This window comes from Homo sapiens, chromosome 14 (assembly GCF_000001405.40).
Source record: "Homo sapiens chromosome 14, GRCh38.p14 Primary Assembly".
Taxonomy (NCBI): Eukaryota; Metazoa; Chordata; class Mammalia; order Primates; family Hominidae; genus Homo; species Homo sapiens.
Window position 1 is genome coordinate 68,808,642 of NC_000014.9, and position 22,361 is coordinate 68,831,002.

Below are 22,361 nucleotides of genomic sequence, written 5' to 3' on the forward strand. Positions count from 1 at the left end.
CTTCAGCCACTGAGTCAGAATTGAAGGAAACCCAGACTCGGGTCCCAGGAGGCAGTCCCTATGCTGCAAAGTCTTCAAACACAGCACCGAGTTTTGTAAGGAATACATTCCCAGTGGGTGCAACTCCATGGAGCTCCAGCCTTTCCTGGTCTAACCTGGTTAATCCTCCAACCCACAGCCCGAAGGGTGGATTCCATTGCCTCCCCGAGCCATGAAGTCCCAGGCCCACACACTGTGGAGGAGACACCATCTGCCCCAACCCTCAGCCCAGGCCTGGCAGACAACATCAACCCTAACAGGGAGAGCAGCACTGTCCCCATCCCCCTCCCCAGAAGGACACCAGGGCTGGGAGGAGAATCTTCAGGCGCCCAAGACCTCTTCTGCCGCCGTGGCTCTGCCTGCCGGCTGTGGCCTCCTCCTTGCCAGCTCTGCTTAAACAGATGAACAAGAATAAAAGCTGTGTGACCCAAGGAAAGCTTTAGGGAAAAGAACTGAAGCTGAAAGGGAAAAAAAAAAAATCCCAAAAAACTCTTAAGAAATGGGAGAGGATCAGAATTCAAGAAACAGACAAAATAAATCATCCAGGAATCCAGATGTAAAACAAGGCAGGCCAAAAGAAAATAAAAATTATGCTAAGAAGGCAGAGTGAGGTGGGGAAAGGAGCTGAGAAGGATAAAGAGGGGGCCAGTTATAAATATTCTGAAAAGGGAGAAGAATGTCAAAGCAAACAACACCCAAAAAATTTTTTTTTAAAAGACCCAGGAGAGAAAAGGAGGCAGCAGTGAATTTAAAACAACTGCCCTGATCCCAACCAAATCCACTCAGTAATGTTCTGGGTGACTACAAGTGAGTCTTAGGGCTTTTGTATATGTGTGGATTTCAGACTCTTCCTAACACTGAACAAGGACAGTCCTAGAAAAGCAAGCTTTCCTTCTCGCCTTTGTGTTTCCTAACTTTTCCCACCTCACCCCCGCTGTTAGTCTGTTGCAGAGAAAGGGCTAGTCTTCCTGGGACAAGGCCAAAAACCAGTCCAACTCACCCCAGAGTAGGGTGGCTGCCATCATGATACCCTATGGCTGGCTCACTGGAGAATTTGAGCAGGAGCCCTGTGCCAGGAGAACATCAGGTATGAGTAGAGCGGTGTGATCAGCTTTTCATCTAGAGAGAGGTCCGGCCCAGCCACCTTTCTGTGGATAAGGGCTCATCTAACTCACAGACACACCATTTCTAGAAAAACAGAGGTTCATGGCAGATTGGCATACCCACCTCTATGCAAAGCCAGAGAAATCCCAGCAAATGCAACTTTTGTTAACAACTAAAATGATTTAAATTAATTTCCAGGTGTTCCCAAGGGAGCCTAAAGACAGCCACAACCATCGTTCTGGTTGGCAAACAGCTTCTTGAAATTCAATGCCTCAATGCCTTGTGTCCATAAACCCCATGAAAACTTATGGAAGATGCTAGTCCTTTGTCGGCTTGGCTTCTTTCAGCCTTCTAACTGTTCTCTGTCTTCTGTAATTCTGTCAGTGCCTCCCTTCTCCATGACTGCTTTGGTTTTTCCAATTTCCTTACTTAATCAAACCTCTGCCCACTCTTCGTTTCCCTAAGGGAGCAGGAGTTGGGAGAAAGCTGAAGCAAACCCAGGCAAAATCCAGAAGCAAAGAAAGTAACACATGGGTGTTGGGTTTAGTGGCCAGCTGTGCAATTCCCAGGCTGTCCTCAGTGGGTGAGGCAGGATCCCCATAGACAGGCGGCTCACCAAGCACCTTATACTGCTCCTCCCAAGTTCAGCCACACCCTGAGCTCTGATCAGCTGGGACAAGGAAAATGGTACTCATGTCAGCCCATCTCCCTCCAAAAATTCTTACATACTTGACCCTGATACTTCTATATATTCCAAAAGTAACATTTTTTTTTTCTATCAAAAACTGAGAGGTGACAAAAAGTGCAGAAGGATGAATGTCTAAGTTGTGGCCTTACACACTCAGCTTCTTGCCATCCCTCCTAACCTTCAACCTGTCACAGTCATATAATCTATGACTCAAACTATTCTTTAACCATGAAAAAAGACAAACCAGGAAATTATAGGCTGAAATACCTAAAATTTATTCTATTCAACTGAACGAATCTCCTAATAAGTGTGTGTATATTGAGAAGTCATGCTCTACCTGTTTTGAAAGACATGGAAATTTCAGGAAAAGTGCAAGGTGACAGCAGATCGCAGCTTGTCGAGATTTGTCCTCAAAAGGGTAAGTGCCTGGTCTTGGGCCGAGTTGCCCAACAGTTTGTTAAAGGAGTCTTAAGAGCTGGGAACCGGTATGTTGCCATGGAGCACACCAACTCAATGTTCAAGCTGACCATATTCAAAGTCTGGCACTGCCCCCTCCTAGGCAAGCAGAGGACTCACCTGCCTCCCTCAGTCTCCTCCTTTGTGAAATGGCGATGACAACAATACCCATCTCCTGGGGTTGCTGTGAGGACAGATGAGCAAAGCATTTGGCACACTCTTGGGTATGAGGTCCCCTCCAAAAAAAAGGAACCCAGTCAACTTTTGTTGTTAAGCAGCAACTGGCAAGACCAAGAAGAGCCCTGGAGGCCCCACAAAGTGGGATTCCATAGAGCCACTGGAGCATAGTCAAGTATCCCAAGCAAGAGAGAGGAGAGGGTCCCAGAGGAGGCCCAGGCAGCTGGCGGGTGGAGCACTGGTCGGGAAAGCCAAGGACAGGCACTCGCAGCCAGGGCGGCTGTGTGGGTGGGAGGACGCAGGGGGCTGCGCTCCAGTCTCCCCTAATTAGCTCAACCTGGCTACATCCTTACCATTGCATGTGTTCATCCTTATGTGAAACGGAGCCCATATTGACCTAGCACCCAGTATGTGCAAGGCGCTGGCTGAATAGGGAGCTGCAGCGGGAGATTTCAGCGTGATCATCACCTCAGAGACTTAATAACTGGGTGTTTCTGCCCAGATTCAGAAGTCTGTCCTTTTGTGAGCTGGATTGTAAGGAGATGACCAGATGCTGAGAAATTTTTATTTGGAGGCTGATTTTTTTTTTCTTTCAGTAAGTGGAAAAGCAAAGAATTTGAAAGTGTTTTGGGAAATCTGAACACCAGTTGAATCTTGGTAATGTTTAGGGGGTATTATTAATTTTTAGGTGGAATAATGATAATGTGGCTAAGTTTGACAAGAATCTATTCTTTGGGGATAAAGAATGAACTTTTTTTTTTTTTTTGAGACAGAGTCTTGCTCTGTTGCCCAGGCTGGAGTGCAGTGGCACAATCTCGGCTCACTGTAACCTCCATCTCCCGGGTTAAAACGATTCACCTGCCTCCCAAATAGCTGGGACTACAGGCACACTCCACCACGCCCGGCTAATTTTTGTATTTTTAGTAGAGACAAGGTTTCACCATATTGGCCAGGCTGGTCTCAAACTCCTGACCTCAACTGATCCGCCCACCTCGGCCTCCCAAAGTGCTGGGATTACAAGCATGAGCCACCACACCCGGCCCAGAAGAACTATTGACAGATGAAATGATATGATGTGATATACAGGATATACTTCAGAATTGTACAGGAGGTAGGGCGGTGGATGGTGGCACTGATGAACAGGTTTGGCCATGAGTTGGTGATGCTGAGACTGGGTGGGTACACGGGGTTCATCATATCACTCTGTCTCCTTCTGCATATATTTGAAATTTTCCATAATAAAATGTTTTAAGTTCAGAAAAACTAAAAATGTTTTAACTCAATGATTCTTGTCTTACTAGCACTTGCAATACAGTATTTACTTCCTACAGACGTGTTCTTGGACAAGAAATGAAGCTATGGAAAAACCTGTCAGGGAGGGCTGGAGAACAGATGGACACCCCCACCCGAGGTCAGAAAAGCAACCTACACAGCCCTCCCCACACTTATGTGGGGACCAAGAGTGGGGTCCTGCCCCTCTGGGCCTCTTGGGCTGGAAGAGTACAGGCAGAAGGACTGATGTCCATTTTGACACTGCTTTTAAGCTCAGTAAAAATTACTATAAAATTGGTTTCAATATATTTTTAAAGCACAATGAACTTTTTTTTTTATTTCCTCAGCAGAAAGCCATCATAGCAGGGTAGGCAAGCTACTCAACCTTTCTAACCTTACTTTTCACAACAGGAAAATGGGGATACTTACATATCCCCCATTTCCCAGGGCATGAGGGTGAATGAGATCAGTGTGTCGAGTGCCTAGCACAGTAAGAACTGTAACAGGGTGGGTCTAATATGTGGCTTTTTTGTGGCTGTTAAGCCTCTGAGAGGACCACAGTAGAGCCACCCCATCGTGAACACTCTGAATTTGAATGCTTTTCTTAAACATTTAAATTAAATAAAAATCAAGGCACACATCCTCTGAAACCCCTTTGGGCCAGGTACCTTGCTGGGTGTCAGCCCCTTCAAGTGTCACAGAAGCCATGGCTGTGCTCAGCGCCCCCCAGCCAGAGGAGCTGCCCAGGCTCTGGAAAGAACAGGGCAGTTGGGATAGAGCCACCACAGCTCTCTCTAGTTGAAGAATTACTTGGAAAATGAAGAGTAAGGCACTGCCCACTCTGGTCCATGGCTTTGAATGTCAAAATGCACCCCCAGAAAGCAGACCTGCAGCAGACCAACCCTTCCCAAAGATGGGGTTCAGGGTCCTCTAGACAAACAGCAGACCCTGGGCGTGGCAACATCTCCCAAAAAGGAGCTGAGTCTCAGGCAAGTGGTCCCTGAAGGCCTCTATACACCACAATGTACCTTCACTGGTGCAAAGGCCCTGCCAAATGGCTGTGCAAAAGTGGCCAGGCAAGAGATACAGTTCTAAGAAGAAATCAAGGAGCCATGGCACGCAGGACTCCCAGGAGAGGCAGGTGGCCTGCACAGCCAGTTCACGCTCCAGGCTACTGTGTGGGTGGCCTCCTGCTGACAAGCTTCAGCCAGAAGCGGGTATTTGGGACTTTGGGTGACAAGACTGGAGGAGACAAGGGAACCTAAGCAGAAGGTCATCCAGACCACCGTCAGAGTGGCCACACCAAGTCTTTGGGTTCTTGCTCTAAGTCTGCCAGCCAGATGAAGGGATGGAGGATTCACATCCAGCCACATCTTGACCCTGCTGATTCTGGAGGAGAATGGATGGAGCCCTGCACTGGCTCCACCTGCTCCCTCTTCTCCCATAAGAGGAAACAAGAAAGGAGGCTGGAGAGCCCAAGACAAAACTCAAGAATGTTCTCGAAAGGTCCTTGGGCTTTGAGACCTTCACAATGCAGTCATAAGATTATCCTGAGCTTCTGAAAGCCCCCTGGCTCCAGAGAAGAGAGCAATCTCTGGCTGCTAAACCTTGAGTGCAAAGGCTAAGGGCACGCCGGGGCCAGAATGCCTGGGTTCAAATCCTAGCTCTGCTATGTATTAGCTCTGTAACATTGGGCAAAGTACTTAACCCCTGTTTCCTCCTCTGTAAAATGAGGATAACTATGGCCCTATAGGGCAGAGTCGTTGCCTAGAACAGTAGAGAACTCAAAATTAATTTAGCAAGGGGCCCTCCTCTGCCCAGTGGGATGTGCTACTATTGACCCCATGGGGTTCTGGAAGAAATCAACATGCTACTACAATGGAAGGCATTTGAAGGAAGTGGAAAGTTTTCACAGAAAGTAGCCCAGAGACATGCACAGAGTGCTGCTCTCTGTGCAGACCAGAAACCCCAAAGATTTGTGCCTCTTTCTGTCAGAATGCAGCTTTCTGGAGCCCACCGGGCTATAGAAGCTGCATGGCGTCTGGAATGGGAATGGGTTGGCCTAGTCTTCCCCTGGAGGTATGGAGAGGAAAGGTGACACTTTCAGGCTTTGTGCAGGACAAGCAGAGAATATCACTCAAATCCAAGCTGGCTGCCCTGTGGGGGACACAGGCCCATGCCGGCAGGCCTGGGGAGAGCCACCGCTTGCTGAGGTTAGGCCAGCACCAGTGGGTGTGAGGAACCCACCTCCAGTCTCAAGAGCAGGGTTGGGCTTCCCTGGATGGGGAGGAAAGGGTTAAGCCGGCTTGGGCTCTGGAGGGAAAGCACTCGGCAGCTATAAACAGAGAGCCTAGGGAGGGAGGGGGCTGACAGGATGTGGCCAGGGCTCGAGCTGTCTGATTATTAACTTCACTTTTATTTGGAGGGGGATTTGATTCTCTGTTTTACTTCCCATCAAGGAAGTGAAAGCCCAGGTCTCAGAGGGGCCTGGTTTCAAATTGTTTTGTCACAGCTCATTTATTTTTCCTTTTAAATAAATAAACAAAACCACCTCTTTGTTTTCCCCTTAATGAGCATTCAGCAAATCATCTGTGGGTGAGGCATGAACGGGGTTTTCTGGAGTCCTTCATGGGAGAACATTTGGCTTATTATTTTAAAAGGAAAAAGCAAGGATGTCTCCTTTAGCTCCCAGTCTTCTCCAAGGCTGTGAAGGCACTTTCTCTTTTGCCTCCTCTGAAATACCGACCTAGACCAGCGAGGAGTCTGAAATCACAGCCTCAAGCTCGGCCAAGGCCCCAGGAGCTTCCTTGGTTGGACCTTGGGGCTGGACCCGCAGCCTGCCATTCCATCTGACAGGCCCTGACCCTGAGGCCACGCAGAGGAAGCACCCAGCACGGGCTCAGTGGTTTGTCTTCTTGCTTGGGCTCAGACCCATGGCTTTTGTTCCTCTGACACCCTGACATTTCTACTAAAATAACAAAGCAATTAAACACACAAAAGGATTCCATGACAGCCTTAAAAAACACCATTACATGTTCCTTTACCCAAGGTTGAAAACATTTGGGAACTTGATTTCCAACATCAAAATCCAGATCAAAACCCATTCAACAATCCCATGATCCCCTTGCAACAACCCTTTCCTGGCCAGTATCACAGGGTGCCGACCCTCACAGGGTCTCACAATTCAACAATTCAGTGAGAGAGGATGCAGCAACAAAGACTGTAACGAAAAAACAAGAGAGTCTAGGGTCTCACATCAACAATTCAGTGAAAGAGGATGCAGCAACAAAGACTGTAAGGGAAAAACAGGAGAGTCTACAGCTGAAGCTACTGCTACTCAAGGTGGGCAGAGAACGGAAGAGACGGATTCTGTTGGAAACTAAGAGGGGAAATCCAGGAAGGCTTCCTGGTGGAGCTGATCTTTAAGCTGAACCTTGAAGGACTGGTAAGATGAACGGATGTTCTGGAACCTGAGAAACACCCAAGTACCAGAGAGACAGCATCCATGTGTGAACTACTCTAGACAGAGGCAACAGGCGTGGTGGGGCCTGGGGCTCCTCAGAATGGCACCTCAAGTCCCCATGGTGGTCAGGGACTGGAATGCATCGGCCGCCTGCAGCCAGCTCCGCGGGGCCAGTCCCTGACCTCTGGCTCGGAGATTGGTGTGCCCGGTGAAGGAGTTGCCCAAGCATCTTAGGCAACCAGATACTACGCCTGGCCTTGGACCCTGCCACTTGCCTGCCCCACAAAAACCTGCTGACCGCTGTGACCTACTTTAACGCCCTCTGACTTCCCGCTCTTTGAATATGGGGCAAAAAGAAGAAGGGCGACTGGCACCATCCAATTCACTTGAGGCTCGGAGGCTCAGGCCTGCCTTCCTGGCGGCTACTGGGGTGGCGTTTCCCAGCACCCCCGGGAAGCTACCAAGGTCCAGGGCTCTCCTGGGCTTCTGCGACGCCCACGCACTCCTGCGGCCGAGCTTCGCGGTCGGGCTCTCCCGTCGCCACCCCGGCGTCTGCTCAGCCGCGAGCGAGAACCAAGCCGGGCCGGGCGCGGGGCCCGGGCGAGGCCGCCAAGATGGCCGACGCGCTCGGCAGCGCGCGGATCACGCGGGAAGGCTGCCCTTGGCCTCCCGGGAAACAGCCAAGGTTCCGCCGCCCTCCTTGGCGCTCTGCCCCGGCCGGCCTGCCGGGATCTCCTCCCCGGCGCGGTCTGCGGCTCCCGGGGCCTCGCAAACCTTCCAGGCCCGAGGCCATCCAGACGTGCACACCAGGCCCGGCCCGCGAGGGGAGACACAGGGGCCGGGGCTGCGGCGGCTGAGCTCCCTGGGCGGCTCGGAACGCAAGGGGCCGGCGAGCCGACGCTGCTGCAGGAGGCTGCGGCGTGGGGCGAGGTTCTCGCTACGGCTTCGTTCCCGTCCTCCCGCGGCCGCTCTCCCCCGGAAGCCCTCGGAGGCAGCACGATGGACGTGGCCACACTGCCCTCCAGTGGCCAGCTCGCCGAACAACACGTCTGGGCCCCTTTTGGGGGTCTGGGTGACGTGTCCACCCTCTCTCTGCCCTTTGCTACATTTGAAGGTGGGGTTTGCTCATCCATGGTTCCTCTTACAGGTCACCAAAGCTGCCACAGTGCACACTCACCCAACAGCAGGGGATTTGCCGCCTTCGGTGGTTCTCAAACTTCAGTGTGCACAGGAATCCCCCCTTGGACAGTTCTTTCAAACCCGGATTGCTGGGTCCCCCAACCAAGTCAGAGAATTTGCATTTCTAACAAATCCTCAGGCGATGCTGAGCTGCTGGTCCGCTGGTCCTGGAGCCACACTTAGAGAACCACTGGCTCGGCTCACTCTTTCTCTCACGGGGTTTCTGTCATCTACTCATTTAATACAGAATATGTCCTGCTAGCCCCGGAGGACGAGTGGACGGAACAACTTTCTCACCCCTCGCGGAGCTTAGTCTAACGGAGGAGACAGACTTGTTTCAACAAATCACCTAGAAAGAAATATAAGATTCCATTTGAAAAGACTTTCAAATTCCTATGAAGGAAAAGAATCAGGTGCTCAGAGAACATATATAAATGGGGCACTCATTTAGATTTGGGATGGGAAGGTTCTTGAGGAAGACCTCTCTGAGGAAACCCTTAAGCTGAGGCCAGGAGGAGGGATGAGGTCCTGAGGGGAATGGGGAGGGGACTGGAACTGGCAGGAGGAGCAGGTAAGATGCAGACCCTGTCTGTAGAAGCAGAGACTGGTAGGGGGCCAGGCAGGGGGTCACAGCCTCCTAGGCCCATGCCTCTGGTACCCACAGAGCTGCCTCCTCAGAAGGGCAGCATCCAGGGGAGAAGAGGGCCTGCCTGCATGCTCAGATCTTAGCTACCCCCGTCAGTGCCAAGAAGAATGCTCCACCTTGAGGAACCCCAGCCAGGTGCCCACAGCCCACAAACTTCTCTTTGCCTGAGCAGATTTATGTAGGTACCTTCTGTAAGGCCTGAAGGGCAGTCACATCTGATGGAACCAGGTCTGCTGAGTAATGATGAACAGACATGATGTTACCATCTACCCATCAATGCCCTCAGTGTGCCATCTCCTCCCTCCTGCAGTCCAGGATCCAGCTGTTTCTCCAATGAGCATTTTTAAGCACCTACTATGTGCTCTGCACTAGGATCACTGCAATGCTCTGTGGGGCATGGCACAAAGAGGCCAGCCTGCCCTAGGAGGCGCCAAGCACCCTGGAGGGCAGGTAGGTGGAGTACACCCTCCCCGCCCCAGTCTCAGCTCCAGCCTGCTGTGTGCACCCCCACCCCACCCAAACATCCCTGGGGTCACTCATTGCAGGTGGGCCAGGCTGACAAATGGCAGCCAGGAATTCTAGTGTTCTAATGATTCTTACTTTGTATCAATGCCAGCTTGATGGCAGGGGCCAGGATGACCACCAACCACTGCCACTTTATCCCTTGTGCTGACAAGGAGGTATCATCCCATTAATCCTGTTACCTTGCTCAGTCCCTTCTGTCCCGTTTTCACATCTGAAAAATGTGGGGTGCGGATGAGTTGTGTTAGATGATCTCCAAGGGTTTCTGATCCATGCCTAGCCCACCAGTGCACTGTTGGAGAGATGGACGAGAACAGCCCTGCCCAATGACCCCATGACCCTAGCATTATGCAAAGCAAGGCCTTTGTCGTTAACAGACTCCAGGTTAGGGGAAGGGAGCGGGGAGCAGCTGAAAAACTATGTGCAGCTTTAGAATCAATCAAATCAATCCAACTCTATTCCTGACTCTGTGATAGCCAGTAAGTGGTTTAACTTCTCTGAGCCTGTTTCCTCATCTGAGAAATGGGAATAGCATGGTACCTACCTCACTGGGCTGTTCTGAAGATTACTGATAATAGCTACCACTTAGCAAGTGCTTGATCCGTGCCAGGCAGCACACTAGAGGCTTCCCATCCACTCCATGAGGTCATGTGCAGAAGTACTGGTCCCATGCCAGCAAGGAGTAGGGCTCCATCACAGTTGTTAACGCATGACACCCCTACTGCTCTGCACACATATATTTATGTAGTCCTACGGCCCTACTGCTCTGCACACATATATTTATGTAGTCCTACGGCCCTACTGCTCTGCACACATATATTTATGTAGTCCTACGGCCCTACTGCTCTGCACACATATATTTATGTAGTCCTACGGCCCTACTGCTCTGCACACATATATTTATGTAGTCCTACGGCCCTACTGCTCTGCACACATATTTAACAGGCGAAGGGGCTTAGCAAGCTCTTGGCACATAATAAGCACTCAATAAACGGTGGGCTTCATCATTAGCCAGAGAGAAGGGACTCTGTGAGGAGGTCCTACAGAAGGAGAAATATGGAGAAGTGGGTGACCCAAGATGATGGCTCACACACCTCTCCCAGGAGGGCCAGCCCCATGCCTAGCTAGGCAGTTCCCTGGCTAGGACGTCAGCTCTTACTCACTCTTTCCAGAGAGCAGCTAATTAGCCTCCCAGCAGCCAGGAGCTCTCCAGATGAAAGGTGCTTAATACAAGCTCAAGGCGTAACTCCCATATGTATAACTAAGGTTCCCTGAGGTGAGGAAGGCCCCAGGGCGGAGAGACAGGCCAGATCAGGGCCTCGCCTTCTTTATGACGGAGGTTCCCAGGGAAGGGAGCCGGCTGGGGTGGCAGTGAGCCTGAGAAAGGGCTCGGGGTGGTGGGTGTGCGGCTTCAGAGGGAGCCCCTCCCTGGGAGTGGGCGGGGCCCGGTGGCTGAGGAGGCAGAGTGAATGCTTCAGGGCCCAAGCTGCCTCCCAGAGTGGGAGCTCCAGGTCAGAAGACAGCTTAGAACTGGGTGGGTCAGAGCGAGGGCTTTGCTGCTGGGCTGCCAGGTCAGAATCCCAGCTCTGCTATGGCCATTCCATGTCCCAGAGCCTCAGCTTCCTCCTCTGTAAAACGGAGATAATGATAACATTGACCTCACAGCTATTTACTGACAGCACTTAGTACAGACAGGACCTGGCACCCACTACGTAAAGAATGAGGATTTGTACATTTGTTCATTTAACAGATATTTATTGAGTACCTGCTATGTGCCAGGCACTGGGTGTTAGAAATACAGTCATGAACAAAACAGATCCATTTTCCCTTGATTCTGTAGGGAAGATAGACCACAGACCCCAGAACCAAGAGATCGGTAATACACTGCCTGGCAGTGACCTGCGCTGTGGGAATCGGGTATGAGGATGGGGTCAGGTGTCCAATACAGCGGCAGAAGAGCAGGTACCCAGGCAGATATGGGCAGATTAAGAAACGAACCAGGGTTGAAGGGCCAACCCAAAGTGCGCAGCAAATCAGAGGCGGGAGCCTGGGCCTGCAGCATAGGAATGTTCACCCACAGCTGCTGAAGCAGCCGCAGCAGCTCCCTCTGCCCCTGACTAAGGGGTGTGCCCAGCGAAGCCACCTGCCCTCACCTCCCCCTTGGCTCCTGCCCCTGACTCCCGCAGTCTGGAGTCCAGCAAGGCAAGGGAACTGACACAGCCCCCAGGGTCACGATGGCTTCCATTCTTTGACATTCACCAGTGTCACTGGCTGAGCTCAGGCTACACGGCCATCTTCTCTTTGAAGCCTCCAAACCAGCTGGTGAAGTCAGTAGCACCCCTGTGTTTTTTATCAAGGTAAGGTTCACATAACATAAAATGAAGCATTTTAAAGTGAACACTTCAGTGGAATTTAGTATATTTACAGGGTTGTGGAACCTCCGCCTCTGTCTAGTTCCAAAACATTTTTATCACCCCAAAAGGAAACCCATACCCACTAAACAGTTGCTCTCCTTTCCCTCCTCCCCCAGGCCCTGGAAACCACCCTCTACTTCCTGTCGCTATGGGGTTGCCTATTCTGGATACTTCACCTATCCAGAGCTTTTGTGTCTGGCTTCTGTCACTTAGCATCATGTTTTCGAGGTTTATCCAGGTTGTAACATGTATTGTTATTACACCTTGGTCTATGGCTAAATAATGTTCCATTGTCTGTAAGCACTCCCATCTTACAGATGAGGAAACAGTCCCGAGGCGCTGAGACTCCCAGCTTGAGTCCACACCGGAGAGACATGGTCCGTGCAAGCCTGCTCCCCAGATGGCCCCATCCTGGCACTGCCGTCTGGGAGGAGGCTGCCCCTGGGGGCATGCTGGTCCCTGAGTGGTGACCTGACCCCTTCTGAGGTTCACTTCTCAGCGCAGGTTCACTTCTCAGCGCAGGTTCACAGGCGAGGGTGCTCTGGCCTCCCAGTCACCCTGATCCAGGCAAGACCATAGCGTGGCCGCAGGGGCCGCCTCCTTGGGGGAATTCCAGCCCCTGGCCAACCACAGACCATAGCACTCCCGGGGGTTGAACCGTTTCTCACAACTGGGTTGTGACAGCTGGGAGGTGCTCAACCCTGGGGGCCAGCCTGGTGGCAGGCCGGGTTGGGAACGCTGTTCCCAGCCAGCTTCCCTAGGCAACATGGCCAGCCCCGTCCAGCAAGTGGACCACTCAGATGGCAGGCATGTACTGAGCACCCACTGTATACCAGCCAGGCACCACGAGGCCTCCAAGGAGCTCCCTTTCTGATGAGGATGAGCCACCCCAGAACAGAAACTGGGTGCTGGGGCCAGGGGCAGGACAGAGGGGTGCTCCGGAGAACAAGCACCAGCACTGAGCCTGGGGAGTTCCCCGCTGGCAGCGCCTGACACAGCCCACACCGGGGATCCCTGGCCTCAGGAAAGCAGGGCTGTCACATCAAGAAGGCCATGACATAAGGGCCCCTACCAACGTCCAGCCTTAGGTGGAGGGCACAGATATGGCAATACACAGGACCCTAGAATGCCTGCCTGGGGATGCCCACCTTGGCCCACTTGATGGCCAGTTGAGACTCAGTGTGCACTGTCCACACACCCTGTTCTGACACTGACTGCCTAGTGTCCAATTATTCTTCCATCTCACTCATTCAGTGCCAGTTACTCTACTGAGCAATAAGGATATAACATTTTAAAAACAAAACAAACATGTTCCTGTCCTCTAGAAGCTTAAAATAGAGCAAACTGAGAAGGAAACTAATAATGACCACCTTGCCAGGGGCAAGGAGACCAGAGGCAGGGCCCTAACCCACGGGCAGCTGCAGCTGGAATATATGAGACAGTGTGTGTGTGCTCACATGTCCACAGCCGAGCTCACCTCCAGACAGTTATGCACCCCTACCGCTCACCCCATCCCACCTCATCCTCACCAAGGCAGGTCTACTCAGTAAGTCAGGCTGAAAACATGAGCCTGGGGAGTTGGGACTTCTTAACTGCCACCCCCACCTGCACCCCATCCAGGATGAAAGAAGCATTATCCAGCAAGGACATGGCCACTGAAAGTGCCACCAAGGACCGGCCAAGGGGAGGGGAAGGGCTCCCTACAGCCCTTCCCCTGCTGGCTGAGTTGAATGGCCAGGGACTTACCCAGGCTGGTACAAAGCCACTGGCCCCAGGGCCATCCCCTTATAACACAGCACTTCCTGGGTGTCAGTGCATGCTGAGTATGTCACGTGTATTTCTTAAACCACTAAGATTTTACCAGTGACTTATCCAAGGTCACCAGGCCAGTGTGTAGAAAATTTGCATTCTGGTGTGAGCCACTCAAAGGTCCACACCCACATTTCTACACATCCCCTAATAAAAGCCAAGGGGCCCACAACGCTCCCCTGTGAACCTCACATGGCTGCCTGTCTAGGGGAAATGAAGGAAATCCCTTCACACGGAGCCCCTGCCCCAGCCGTGCTCCAGTCCCTCTCTTTTCCCCTGCCCTAGCTGACCCCACAGCTAAGCCCACCTTTTGGCATTCAGGGTGCACCTCCTGCCCCAGGGAACTCCCAGATGAGCTGGAGGGAACAGTCTGCACTGGGGCTCTGGGTGGAAGGGAAGAGGATGGGGGCTAACCAGGTCCTGGGCACATAGGGCCTCATGTGGGAAGGAAAATGCTCCCTCAGAGGGTCAGATGCTCTCAACCAGTTCCCACCCCCTGCTGCTGTCACAGAGAACTTCCTTGGCAGAGAGGGGAGAGAGCAAGCTAGATCTTGCTCCAGGTGTCTTGGCTGACCTGAAAACCCCAGGGCGCCCTGAGGGAAAGAAAGCCAGGGAAGGGATGCATGGGAAGCTGGGTGATTATTGCCCTCTATTCCAGGGTTGGGGGTGGGGACCACCTGTCCAGGGAGCATAGCCTAGCTGAGGGGCAGGAATGGGCCCCTGCCTGTCCCAGGGTCAGCCCAGGGTCAGATGGGGCCAACTATAGTCCCCACGGCCAGGACATGGCTGCTGAGAGGCCCGGTGACCACAGCTGTGTTCTCTGGGCTCTGGTTGAAGCACTTTGCATGCATTAATCCTAAAGCCGATCTTTACAGCCTCCCTGAAAGGAAGGTGCATGAGGTCCCTGTTTTACAGATGAAGAAACTAAGGCTCACAGATTGGAGAAATGTGCCCATAGCTAGGTGGCCAGGAAACAGTACAGTCAGGATTCACATCCTTCTGATTCCAAAGGCTTTGCCCTTGACAACTGCTTAGAGCTTTTCTGCTGGCTGTGCCTAGCACCAGGCTGGCACCTCAGATGTTCAGGTATTCACTGGGATGAGGGAGGGAGTGGACAGGTAAGGGGATATGTGAGAGGATATGGGGATGAGTGGGAGGGCAAGTGAGTGTATAAGCGCGCATGGGTGAGTGAGTGGTTGAGCAGTCAGTGGACATGCAGACTAGTAAATGAATGTTGCGGTGGTTAAAGGGTTGACCTAGAGAGAGGAGCAATCGCTGCTCTGTCAAATGGCCTCTGGGAGTGAAGAGGGAATGGGGCTTTTGAGAAATTGGGTGGCCCACTGGGATCTGGCTTACCATGAATAATAGCCCCCAGGTGGTCTCCCCCCCTGGAAAGAACCCTACCCAGAAAGGGACTCTGGAGGCCACAGGGCTTCTGCTTGCCAGGCACACACACATTCCATGACCAAGTAATGGGCTGGCCAGGTCAATCATCTACAGGGCTTTGGGAGCTCCATTGCTTAAGAGGAACCTGGGCCACGTATCGATCTGCCCACCCCTGCTGGGAGGAAAAGAAGAAAAAGAGATCCATTGGTTCTGCCCAAGGTGGAGGTGGGGGTGGGTGGCCAAGAGGCCCCAACTGCTGTCCTGGAAAGGCAAGTAGGCCTGGCCAGGGCAGAACTCCTTTGCACTGGCTGTTGGGCCCTGGGGGTCACTGCCCGGGCCCTGTTTGCCCAAGGGGGTGGGTGCAAGGTGGTGCGGATGTGACTCAGCAAGGGGTCACTGCCATGGACAGGGAAGGCCAATGGGGTAAGGGGCAGGCTGGACTGGACCCAGGAGTCAGGATAACTTGGCAAAAAGGGGCTGTGGATCTTGGGGCTGCAGGCAGGGAAACATAGGGATCTATAGCCCACCAACACCTTCCATGAGGCACAAGGGGAAAGTAACTGGACCAAGTCAAGGGCAACTCCATGAGTTAAAGGGCACACAGGGGAACTCTCCCATCCAGCCCTCAGCCAGCTCTCCAAGGAAGACTGGAGTAAGCCAGGGGCAGGTGCTGGCCAGCGTGCTTCTGGAGAACAAGTCCCAGATGCTGCTCAACTTGGGGTCAGAGGAAGCCAAGAGGGGACCCCAGAGCCATGCCTGGTCAGGCACAGCCCCTCCCCAGCAGTGAGTTTGTACCCACTGCCCACTTCGGGAGTGGGGGCTTGTCATGACATACAGTGAGCTAACAGAGGGTATGAAGGGCCTCCTGGAGGGGGTGGGGTGCACAGGAAACTGCTCAACACCTTGGTGCCCTCCCCTGTGCACTCAGGTCTTGCATGAGCTGCCTGTCCTGGAGGAATCCTTGAAGGGGACAGACAGCACCATCCTCCCTCACCTTTCTGCACAGAGTCCCAGGAACCTGAGCAGGGCAAATGTTTTCACCACCCTGTTCTGAGAACAAATTGAGCAGGCCTATTAGCCCCATATTCCCACATGTGGTCCTGGAGACTACGCTCCATCCTGGAAAATGCCATAGAGGTCACTTTGGGCATGCGGCACAGCGGCTGTCCGAGGGGGTGTGTTTAGGGCTGGACACCTTCCGGTCCAGCACAGGCCATGAGGAGCAGGCGAGTGCCCTCTAGTGGCCTCTCCCGGCACGGGTTGCATAGAGCCCCACTTCCCAAAGACAGCTCGCCTAGGAGCACAGGGACAATCCCAGTCTCCTTCCTACAGGGTCTGGAAGCGTTGTGCAACTAACCCTCAATTTTTTCAAAAGAAAAAAGGAAGTGATAGATCTACATCAGAAGGTCATTGCAAGATGGAAGAACAACATATACAGCCCTTTAGCATGGCTTTCTTCAAATATTAGTGATGACAACACCAACAAGAGTAAAAGTTATCTTAATCCTCACAATGACCCATGAGGTAGGTGTTACTATTTCTAGTTCACAAATGAAAAAGGGGTGGCCAGGCACGGTGGCTCACGCCTGTAATCCCAGCACTTTGGGAGGCCGAGGCGGGTGCATCACTTGAGGCCAGGAGTTTGAGATCAGCCTGGTCAACATGGTGAAACCCCGTCTCTGCTAAAAACACAAAAATTAGCCAGGCATGCTGGCAGGCGCCTGTAATCTCAGCTACTTGGGAGGCTGAGGCATGAGAATAGCTTGAACCCACGAGCCAGAGGTTGCAGTGAGCCGAGATTGCACCGCTGCACTCCAGCCTGGGCAACAAAGCAAGACTCTGCCTCAAATAAAAACAAAATAAAACAAACAAAAAATACAAATGAAAAAGATACAGAACTTGGGTTTTTCAACTCAGCTGTGATGGCAAACTTGTGCTGGTGTTTAGGCACTCGACTTTAACTGCTCAGATTTTAACAAGAGGCTATTTCCAACCAAAAGCGTAGCTTTTTCTCTCCTGTCTCCTGCTCCCAAGAGAGACTGCACTGTTGAGGAGAAAGCAGGGAAATGGCTCTTCCTCCTCTCTGTGGTAAAAAGGATCAATGATAAACTTTTCCTTATCTTGTTATACTTTACAAAGGCCTTTCACCTGTGTTATCTTATTTGCACGTCACACCAGCCCTGTGAGGGAGGAAGTATTAGCCCCATCCAATATGTAACTCCAAAGGTAGCTGTCCACTTAACTTCCAGCCCTGCAGCTACACAAGCCCCATGGGACCAAACCCAAATGAAGTCTCAATAAATTTAAAAAGATAACTGTCATATAAAGTATCTCCTTGGACCACAACAGGATGAAGTTAAAAAATCAATAACAGAAATATAACTGAAGGCCGGTCGTGGTGGCTCACGCCTGTAATCCCAGCAATTTGGGAGGCCTCGGAGGTGGGCAGATCACTTGAGCCCAGAATTCGAGAACAGCCTGGGCAACATGCTGAAACCCCATCTCTACAAAATAATAATAATAATAATAATAATAATAATAAATAAAAAATAGCCAGGCATGGTGGCGCACACCTGTAGTCCCAGCTACTCTTAGAGGCTGAGGTGGGAAGATCATCTGAGCCTGGGAAGGTTGGGGCTGCAGTGAGCTGTGATCACACCACTGCACTCCAGTCTGGGCGACAGAGTGAGACCCTGTCTACAAAAAAAGAAAAGAAAAGGAAATACAACTGGAAAATTCACAAATTTGTGAAAAAACAATGCACTCTTAACCAATGGATCAAAGAAGACATCACAAAGGAAACCAGAAAATACCTAGAAATAAAAGAAAATGAAAACACAACAAAGCAAAATGTATGAGATACAACAAAAGCAGCGCTAAGGAGAAAATTTATAGCTATAAGTAACACAACATAGCAAAATGTATGACATACAATAAAAGCAGTGCTAAGGTGGAAATTTATAGCTGTAAGTGTTTACATTAAAAAACAAGAAAGATTTCAAATCAACAACCTAACTTTACAACTTGAGGAAGTATAAAGAGAAAACCAAACAACCCAATATTTAAATAAATTTAAAAAGATAACTGTCATATAAAGTATCTCCTCGGACCACAACAGGATGAAGTTAAAAATCAATAACAGAAATATAACTGGAGGCCAGTCGTGGTAGTCAAAATAAATATTAGCAACAAATGAAACTGAGAATAGAAACACAATAGAAAAGGCTGGGCACAGTTATTCATGCCTGTAATCCCAGCACTCTGGGAGGCCAAGGCAGGCAGATCACTTGAGCTCAGGAGTTCAAGACCAGCATGGGCAACATGGCAAAACCCCACCTCTACCAAAAATACAAAAAATTAGCTGGGCATGGCGGTGTGTGCCTGTAGTCCCAGCTACTCAGGAGGCTGAAATGGGCGGATCGCTTGAGCCTGGGAAGCAGAAGTTGCAGGGAGCCAAGATCATGCCACTGCACCCCAGCCTGGGCAACAGAGCAAGACCCCATTTCAGAAAAAGAAAAAGAAAAACAATAGAGATAAACCAGCGAAACAAAAAGTTTGTTTTTTGAAATGATCAACAAAATTGAAAAACCTTTAGCTAGATGGACTAATAAAAGAGAGAGAGAAGCCTCAAATTACTGAAATCAGAAATGAAAGTGGGGACATTTGGCCGGGCGCGGTGGCTCACTCCTGTAATCCCAGCACTTTGGGAGGCCAAGGCGGGTGTTATCACCTGATGTCAGGAGTTCGAGACCAGCCTGGCCAATATGGTGAAACCCTGTCTCTACTAAAAAAGTACAAAAATTAGCCAGGCGTGGTGGCACATGCCTGTAATGCCCAGCTACTCAGGAGGCTGAGGCAGGAGAATCTCTTGAACCTGGTAGGCGGAGGTTGCAGTGAGCCAAGATCGCGCCATTGCACTCCAGCCTGAGTGACAAGAGTGAGACTCCGTCTCACAAAAAGAAAAAAAAAAAAAGAAAGAAAGTGGGGACGTTTATTTCCAATTCTATGGAAATAAAAAGGATTCTGAGAGTACTATGAACAATTGTACACCAACAAATTGGATAGCCTAGGTGAAATAGACATATTCATAAAACCTACCAAGACTAAATCAAGAAGAAATTGAAAATCTGAATAGATCTATAACTAGTAAAGAGATTGACTCAGTAATCAAAACCTTCCAATAAAGAAAAGCTCTAGACTTGATGGATTCACTGGTGAATCCTATCAAATATCTAAAGAACTAACACCTATTTTTTTCAAACGTTTTTAAAAATTAAAAAGGAGGGGTTGGGCAAAGTGGCTCATACCTGTAATCTCAGCACTTTGGGAAACCAAGACAGGCAGATTGCTTGAGAGTTTGAGACCAGCCTGGGAAACACAGTGAGACCTTGTCCCTACAAGAAATACAAAAATTAGTCAAGCATCATGGTGCACACCTGTGGTCCCAGCTACTCTGGAGGCTGAGGCGAGAGAATCATTTGAGCCCAGGAAGTTGAGGCTGCAGTTAGCCATGATCATGCTGTGCACTCCAGCCTAGGCAACAGAGCGAGACCCTATCTAAAAAAAAAAAAAAAAAAAAAAAGGAGAAAACACTTCCTAATTCATTCTATGAGGCCAGTATTACCCTGAAAGCAATGCCAGACAGACATGCCAAGAAAACAATAGACCAATATCCCTTAAGAACATTGATGCAAGAACCTCAACAAAATACTGGCAAGCCAAATTCAGCAGCATATTAAAAGGATTACATACATGACCAAGTGAAATTTATTCCCAGAATTCAAGGATGGATCAACATACAAAAAATGATCAATATAATGTACCACATTAACAGACAAAAGGGAAAAATGATAATCTCAACTGATGCAAAAAAAGCATTTGTCAAAATTCAATACCGTTTCATGATAAAAACACTCAACAAATTAGGAATAGAATTCTAAATGTTCAACAACAGATGAATGGATAAAGAAAATGTGGTATATATACACAATGGAATACTTTTTAGCTATTTAAAAAAGAATGAAATTCTGTCATTCTTGGCAACATGGGTGGAACTGGAGGACATTATATTAAGTGAAATAAGCCAGGAATGGAACACTGCATGTCTCATTCATATGTGGAAGTGAAAAATAAAAGTTGACCTCATAGAAAAAGTAGAACAGAGGATACTGGAGGCTGAGAAGGGTAAGGGGAAGAGAGAGTTAGAGAGAAATTTGTTAGAAGATATAATATTATAGCTAGATAGGAGGAATAAGTTCTGTGTTCTGTACCACTGTAGGATGACTATAGTTAAAAATAAAATATATAGTTTCAAATAGCTAGAAGGAGGATACTGACTGTTCCCAATATAAGAAATGATCAGTGTTTGAGATGAGGGATATGCTAGTTACCTTGATCTGATCACTACATATTATATGTATAATCAAATCAGTAGGTAACCCATGAGTATGCACAATTATTATCTGTTGATTTTTAAAAAATAAAAGTTTTTTTAAAAAATAAAAGGAAATTACTTCAACATTAAAAAGCTGTATACAAAAAACTCACTGCAAATATACTCAATGGTGAAAAGTTGAAAGCTTTCCCTCTATGATCAGGAACAAGGAAAGGATGCCTGCTTTCACCACTTCTATTCCACATAGTACTGGAAGTTCTCACTACAGCAAGTCAATCTACAGATTCAATGCAAGCCCTATCAAATCCCAATGACTTTTTTTTTTGCAGAAAAGAAAAACTCATCCTAAAATTTATATTGAATTTCATGGTTCCCTAAGTAGCCAAAATGATCTTGAAAAAGAAGAACAAAGCTGGCCGGGCACGGTGGCTCACACCTGTAATCCCAGCACTTTGGGAGGCCGAGGTGGGTGGATCACGAGGTCAGGAGATCGAGACCATCCTGGCTAACACGGTGAAACCCCGTCTCTACTAAAAATACAAAAAATTAGCCGGGCCTGGTGGCGGGCGCCTGTAGTCCCAGCTACTTGGGAGGCTGAGGCAGAAGAATGGCGTGAACCCGGGAGGCGGAGCTTGCAGTGAGCCAAGATCGCGCCCCTGTGCTCCAGCCTGGGCGACAGAGAGACTCTGTCTCAAAAAAAAAGAAAAAGAAAAAGAACGAAGCTAAAGGACTCACTTTTCCTGATTTCAAAACAAAGCTACAGTATTCAAAACAATGTGGAACTGGCATAAAGACAGACATATAAACCAATGAAGTAGAAGACAGAGCCCAGAAACAAACCCTCACATATATGGTCAAATGATTTTTTTCCTTTACACATTTTATTTTATTTTAAGGTATGTTTATTTTTTATTGATACATAATAGATGTACATATTTTCAGGGTACATGTAATAATTTAATACATTCATATCATGTGTAAATATCAAATCAGGATAATTGAGATATCTGTCCCTTGAATATCTGTCTTTTCTTTATACTGGAAACATTCAAGTTATTCCCTTCTAGCTATTTTGAAATACATAATAGGTTATTGCAAACTATTGTCACCCTACAGATCTATAGAACAATAGATCTTACTTTTTCTGACTGTATATTTGTACCCATTAATCAACCTCTCTTCATCCCCTCACTCCCCTCTCCTTCCCAGCCTCTGAAAACCACAAATTTACTCTCTGTCTTCAAGAGATCCAAGTTTTTAGCTCCCACATATGAGTGAGAACATGCAATATTTGTCTTTCTGCACTTGGCTTATTTCACTTAACATGGTGACATCCACTTGCATCCATGTTGCTACAAATGACATAATTTTATTTTATTATGGTTGAATAATACTTCATTGGGTATATATACCACATCTTCTCTATCTATTCATCCATTGATGGACACTTAGGTTGATTCCATTTTTTGGCTATTGTGAATAGTGCTGTGATAAATACAGGAGTGCAGATATCTCTTTGATATATTGATTTCTTTTCTTTTGGATATATACCCAGTAGTGGATTGCTGGATCAAATGGTGGTTCTCTTTTTAGTTTTTTGTGCTAAAAATAGCTCAAAAAGTGCTATTGATAGTGGTTGTACTAATTTACATTCCCACCAACAGTCTATGAGGGTTCCCCTTTCTCCATATCCTCAGCAGCATCCCTTTTTGATAAAAGCCATTTTAAGTGGAGTGAGATGATCTCACTGTTGTTTTGATTTGTATTTCTTTTTTCTTTTTCTTTTTCTTTTTCTTTTCTTTTTTTTTTTT

The 22,361-nt window shown here is 49.0% G+C and overlaps 13 annotated features.

Moving 5' to 3' along the window:
* Positions 6,382-6,501: an enhancer, noted in NCBI's record as "active region_8621". NCBI's record gives its function as "activates an Ori minimal core promoter by ATAC-STARR-seq in GM12878 lymphoblastoid cells {active_cell/tissue: GM12878}" and the evidence as "EXISTENCE:reporter gene assay evidence [ECO:0000049][PMID:35858748]".
* Positions 7,107-7,326: an enhancer, noted in NCBI's record as "active region_8622". NCBI's record gives its function as "activates an Ori minimal core promoter by ATAC-STARR-seq in GM12878 lymphoblastoid cells {active_cell/tissue: GM12878}" and the evidence as "EXISTENCE:reporter gene assay evidence [ECO:0000049][PMID:35858748]".
* Positions 7,407-7,636: an enhancer, noted in NCBI's record as "active region_8623". NCBI's record gives its function as "activates an Ori minimal core promoter by ATAC-STARR-seq in GM12878 lymphoblastoid cells {active_cell/tissue: GM12878}" and the evidence as "EXISTENCE:reporter gene assay evidence [ECO:0000049][PMID:35858748]".
* Positions 7,653-8,392: an enhancer, noted in NCBI's record as "H3K27ac-H3K4me1 hESC enhancer chr14:69283011-69283750 (GRCh37/hg19 assembly coordinates)". NCBI's record gives its function as "activates a minimal SCP1, AML or CMV promoter by ChIP-STARR-seq in naive H9 embryonic stem cells {active_cell/tissue: H9 hESC(naive)}" and the evidence as "EXISTENCE:reporter gene assay evidence [ECO:0000049][PMID:30033119]".
* Positions 7,777-8,166: a silencer, noted in NCBI's record as "silent region_5874". NCBI's record gives its function as "represses an Ori minimal core promoter by ATAC-STARR-seq in GM12878 lymphoblastoid cells {active_cell/tissue: GM12878}" and the evidence as "EXISTENCE:reporter gene assay evidence [ECO:0000049][PMID:35858748]".
* Positions 8,267-8,316: an enhancer, noted in NCBI's record as "active region_8624". NCBI's record gives its function as "activates an Ori minimal core promoter by ATAC-STARR-seq in GM12878 lymphoblastoid cells {active_cell/tissue: GM12878}" and the evidence as "EXISTENCE:reporter gene assay evidence [ECO:0000049][PMID:35858748]".
* Positions 8,417-8,466: an enhancer, noted in NCBI's record as "active region_8625". NCBI's record gives its function as "activates an Ori minimal core promoter by ATAC-STARR-seq in GM12878 lymphoblastoid cells {active_cell/tissue: GM12878}" and the evidence as "EXISTENCE:reporter gene assay evidence [ECO:0000049][PMID:35858748]".
* Positions 12,389-12,588: an enhancer, noted in NCBI's record as "active region_8626". NCBI's record gives its function as "activates an Ori minimal core promoter by ATAC-STARR-seq in GM12878 lymphoblastoid cells {active_cell/tissue: GM12878}" and the evidence as "EXISTENCE:reporter gene assay evidence [ECO:0000049][PMID:35858748]".
* Positions 13,899-13,958: an enhancer, noted in NCBI's record as "active region_8627". NCBI's record gives its function as "activates an Ori minimal core promoter by ATAC-STARR-seq in GM12878 lymphoblastoid cells {active_cell/tissue: GM12878}" and the evidence as "EXISTENCE:reporter gene assay evidence [ECO:0000049][PMID:35858748]".
* Positions 14,539-14,638: an enhancer, noted in NCBI's record as "active region_8628". NCBI's record gives its function as "activates an Ori minimal core promoter by ATAC-STARR-seq in GM12878 lymphoblastoid cells {active_cell/tissue: GM12878}" and the evidence as "EXISTENCE:reporter gene assay evidence [ECO:0000049][PMID:35858748]".
* Positions 16,075-16,274: an enhancer, noted in NCBI's record as "active region_8629". NCBI's record gives its function as "activates an Ori minimal core promoter by ATAC-STARR-seq in GM12878 lymphoblastoid cells {active_cell/tissue: GM12878}" and the evidence as "EXISTENCE:reporter gene assay evidence [ECO:0000049][PMID:35858748]".
* Positions 16,271-16,565: an enhancer, noted in NCBI's record as "tiled region #4438; HepG2 Activating DNase unmatched - State 1:Tss, and K562 Activating DNase matched - State 5:Enh". NCBI's record gives its function as "activates a minimal TATA promoter and a strong SV40 promoter by Sharpr-MPRA in HepG2 and K562 cells {active_cell/tissue: HepG2 | K562}" and the evidence as "EXISTENCE:reporter gene assay evidence [ECO:0000049][PMID:27701403]".
* Positions 16,445-16,494: an enhancer, noted in NCBI's record as "active region_8630". NCBI's record gives its function as "activates an Ori minimal core promoter by ATAC-STARR-seq in GM12878 lymphoblastoid cells {active_cell/tissue: GM12878}" and the evidence as "EXISTENCE:reporter gene assay evidence [ECO:0000049][PMID:35858748]".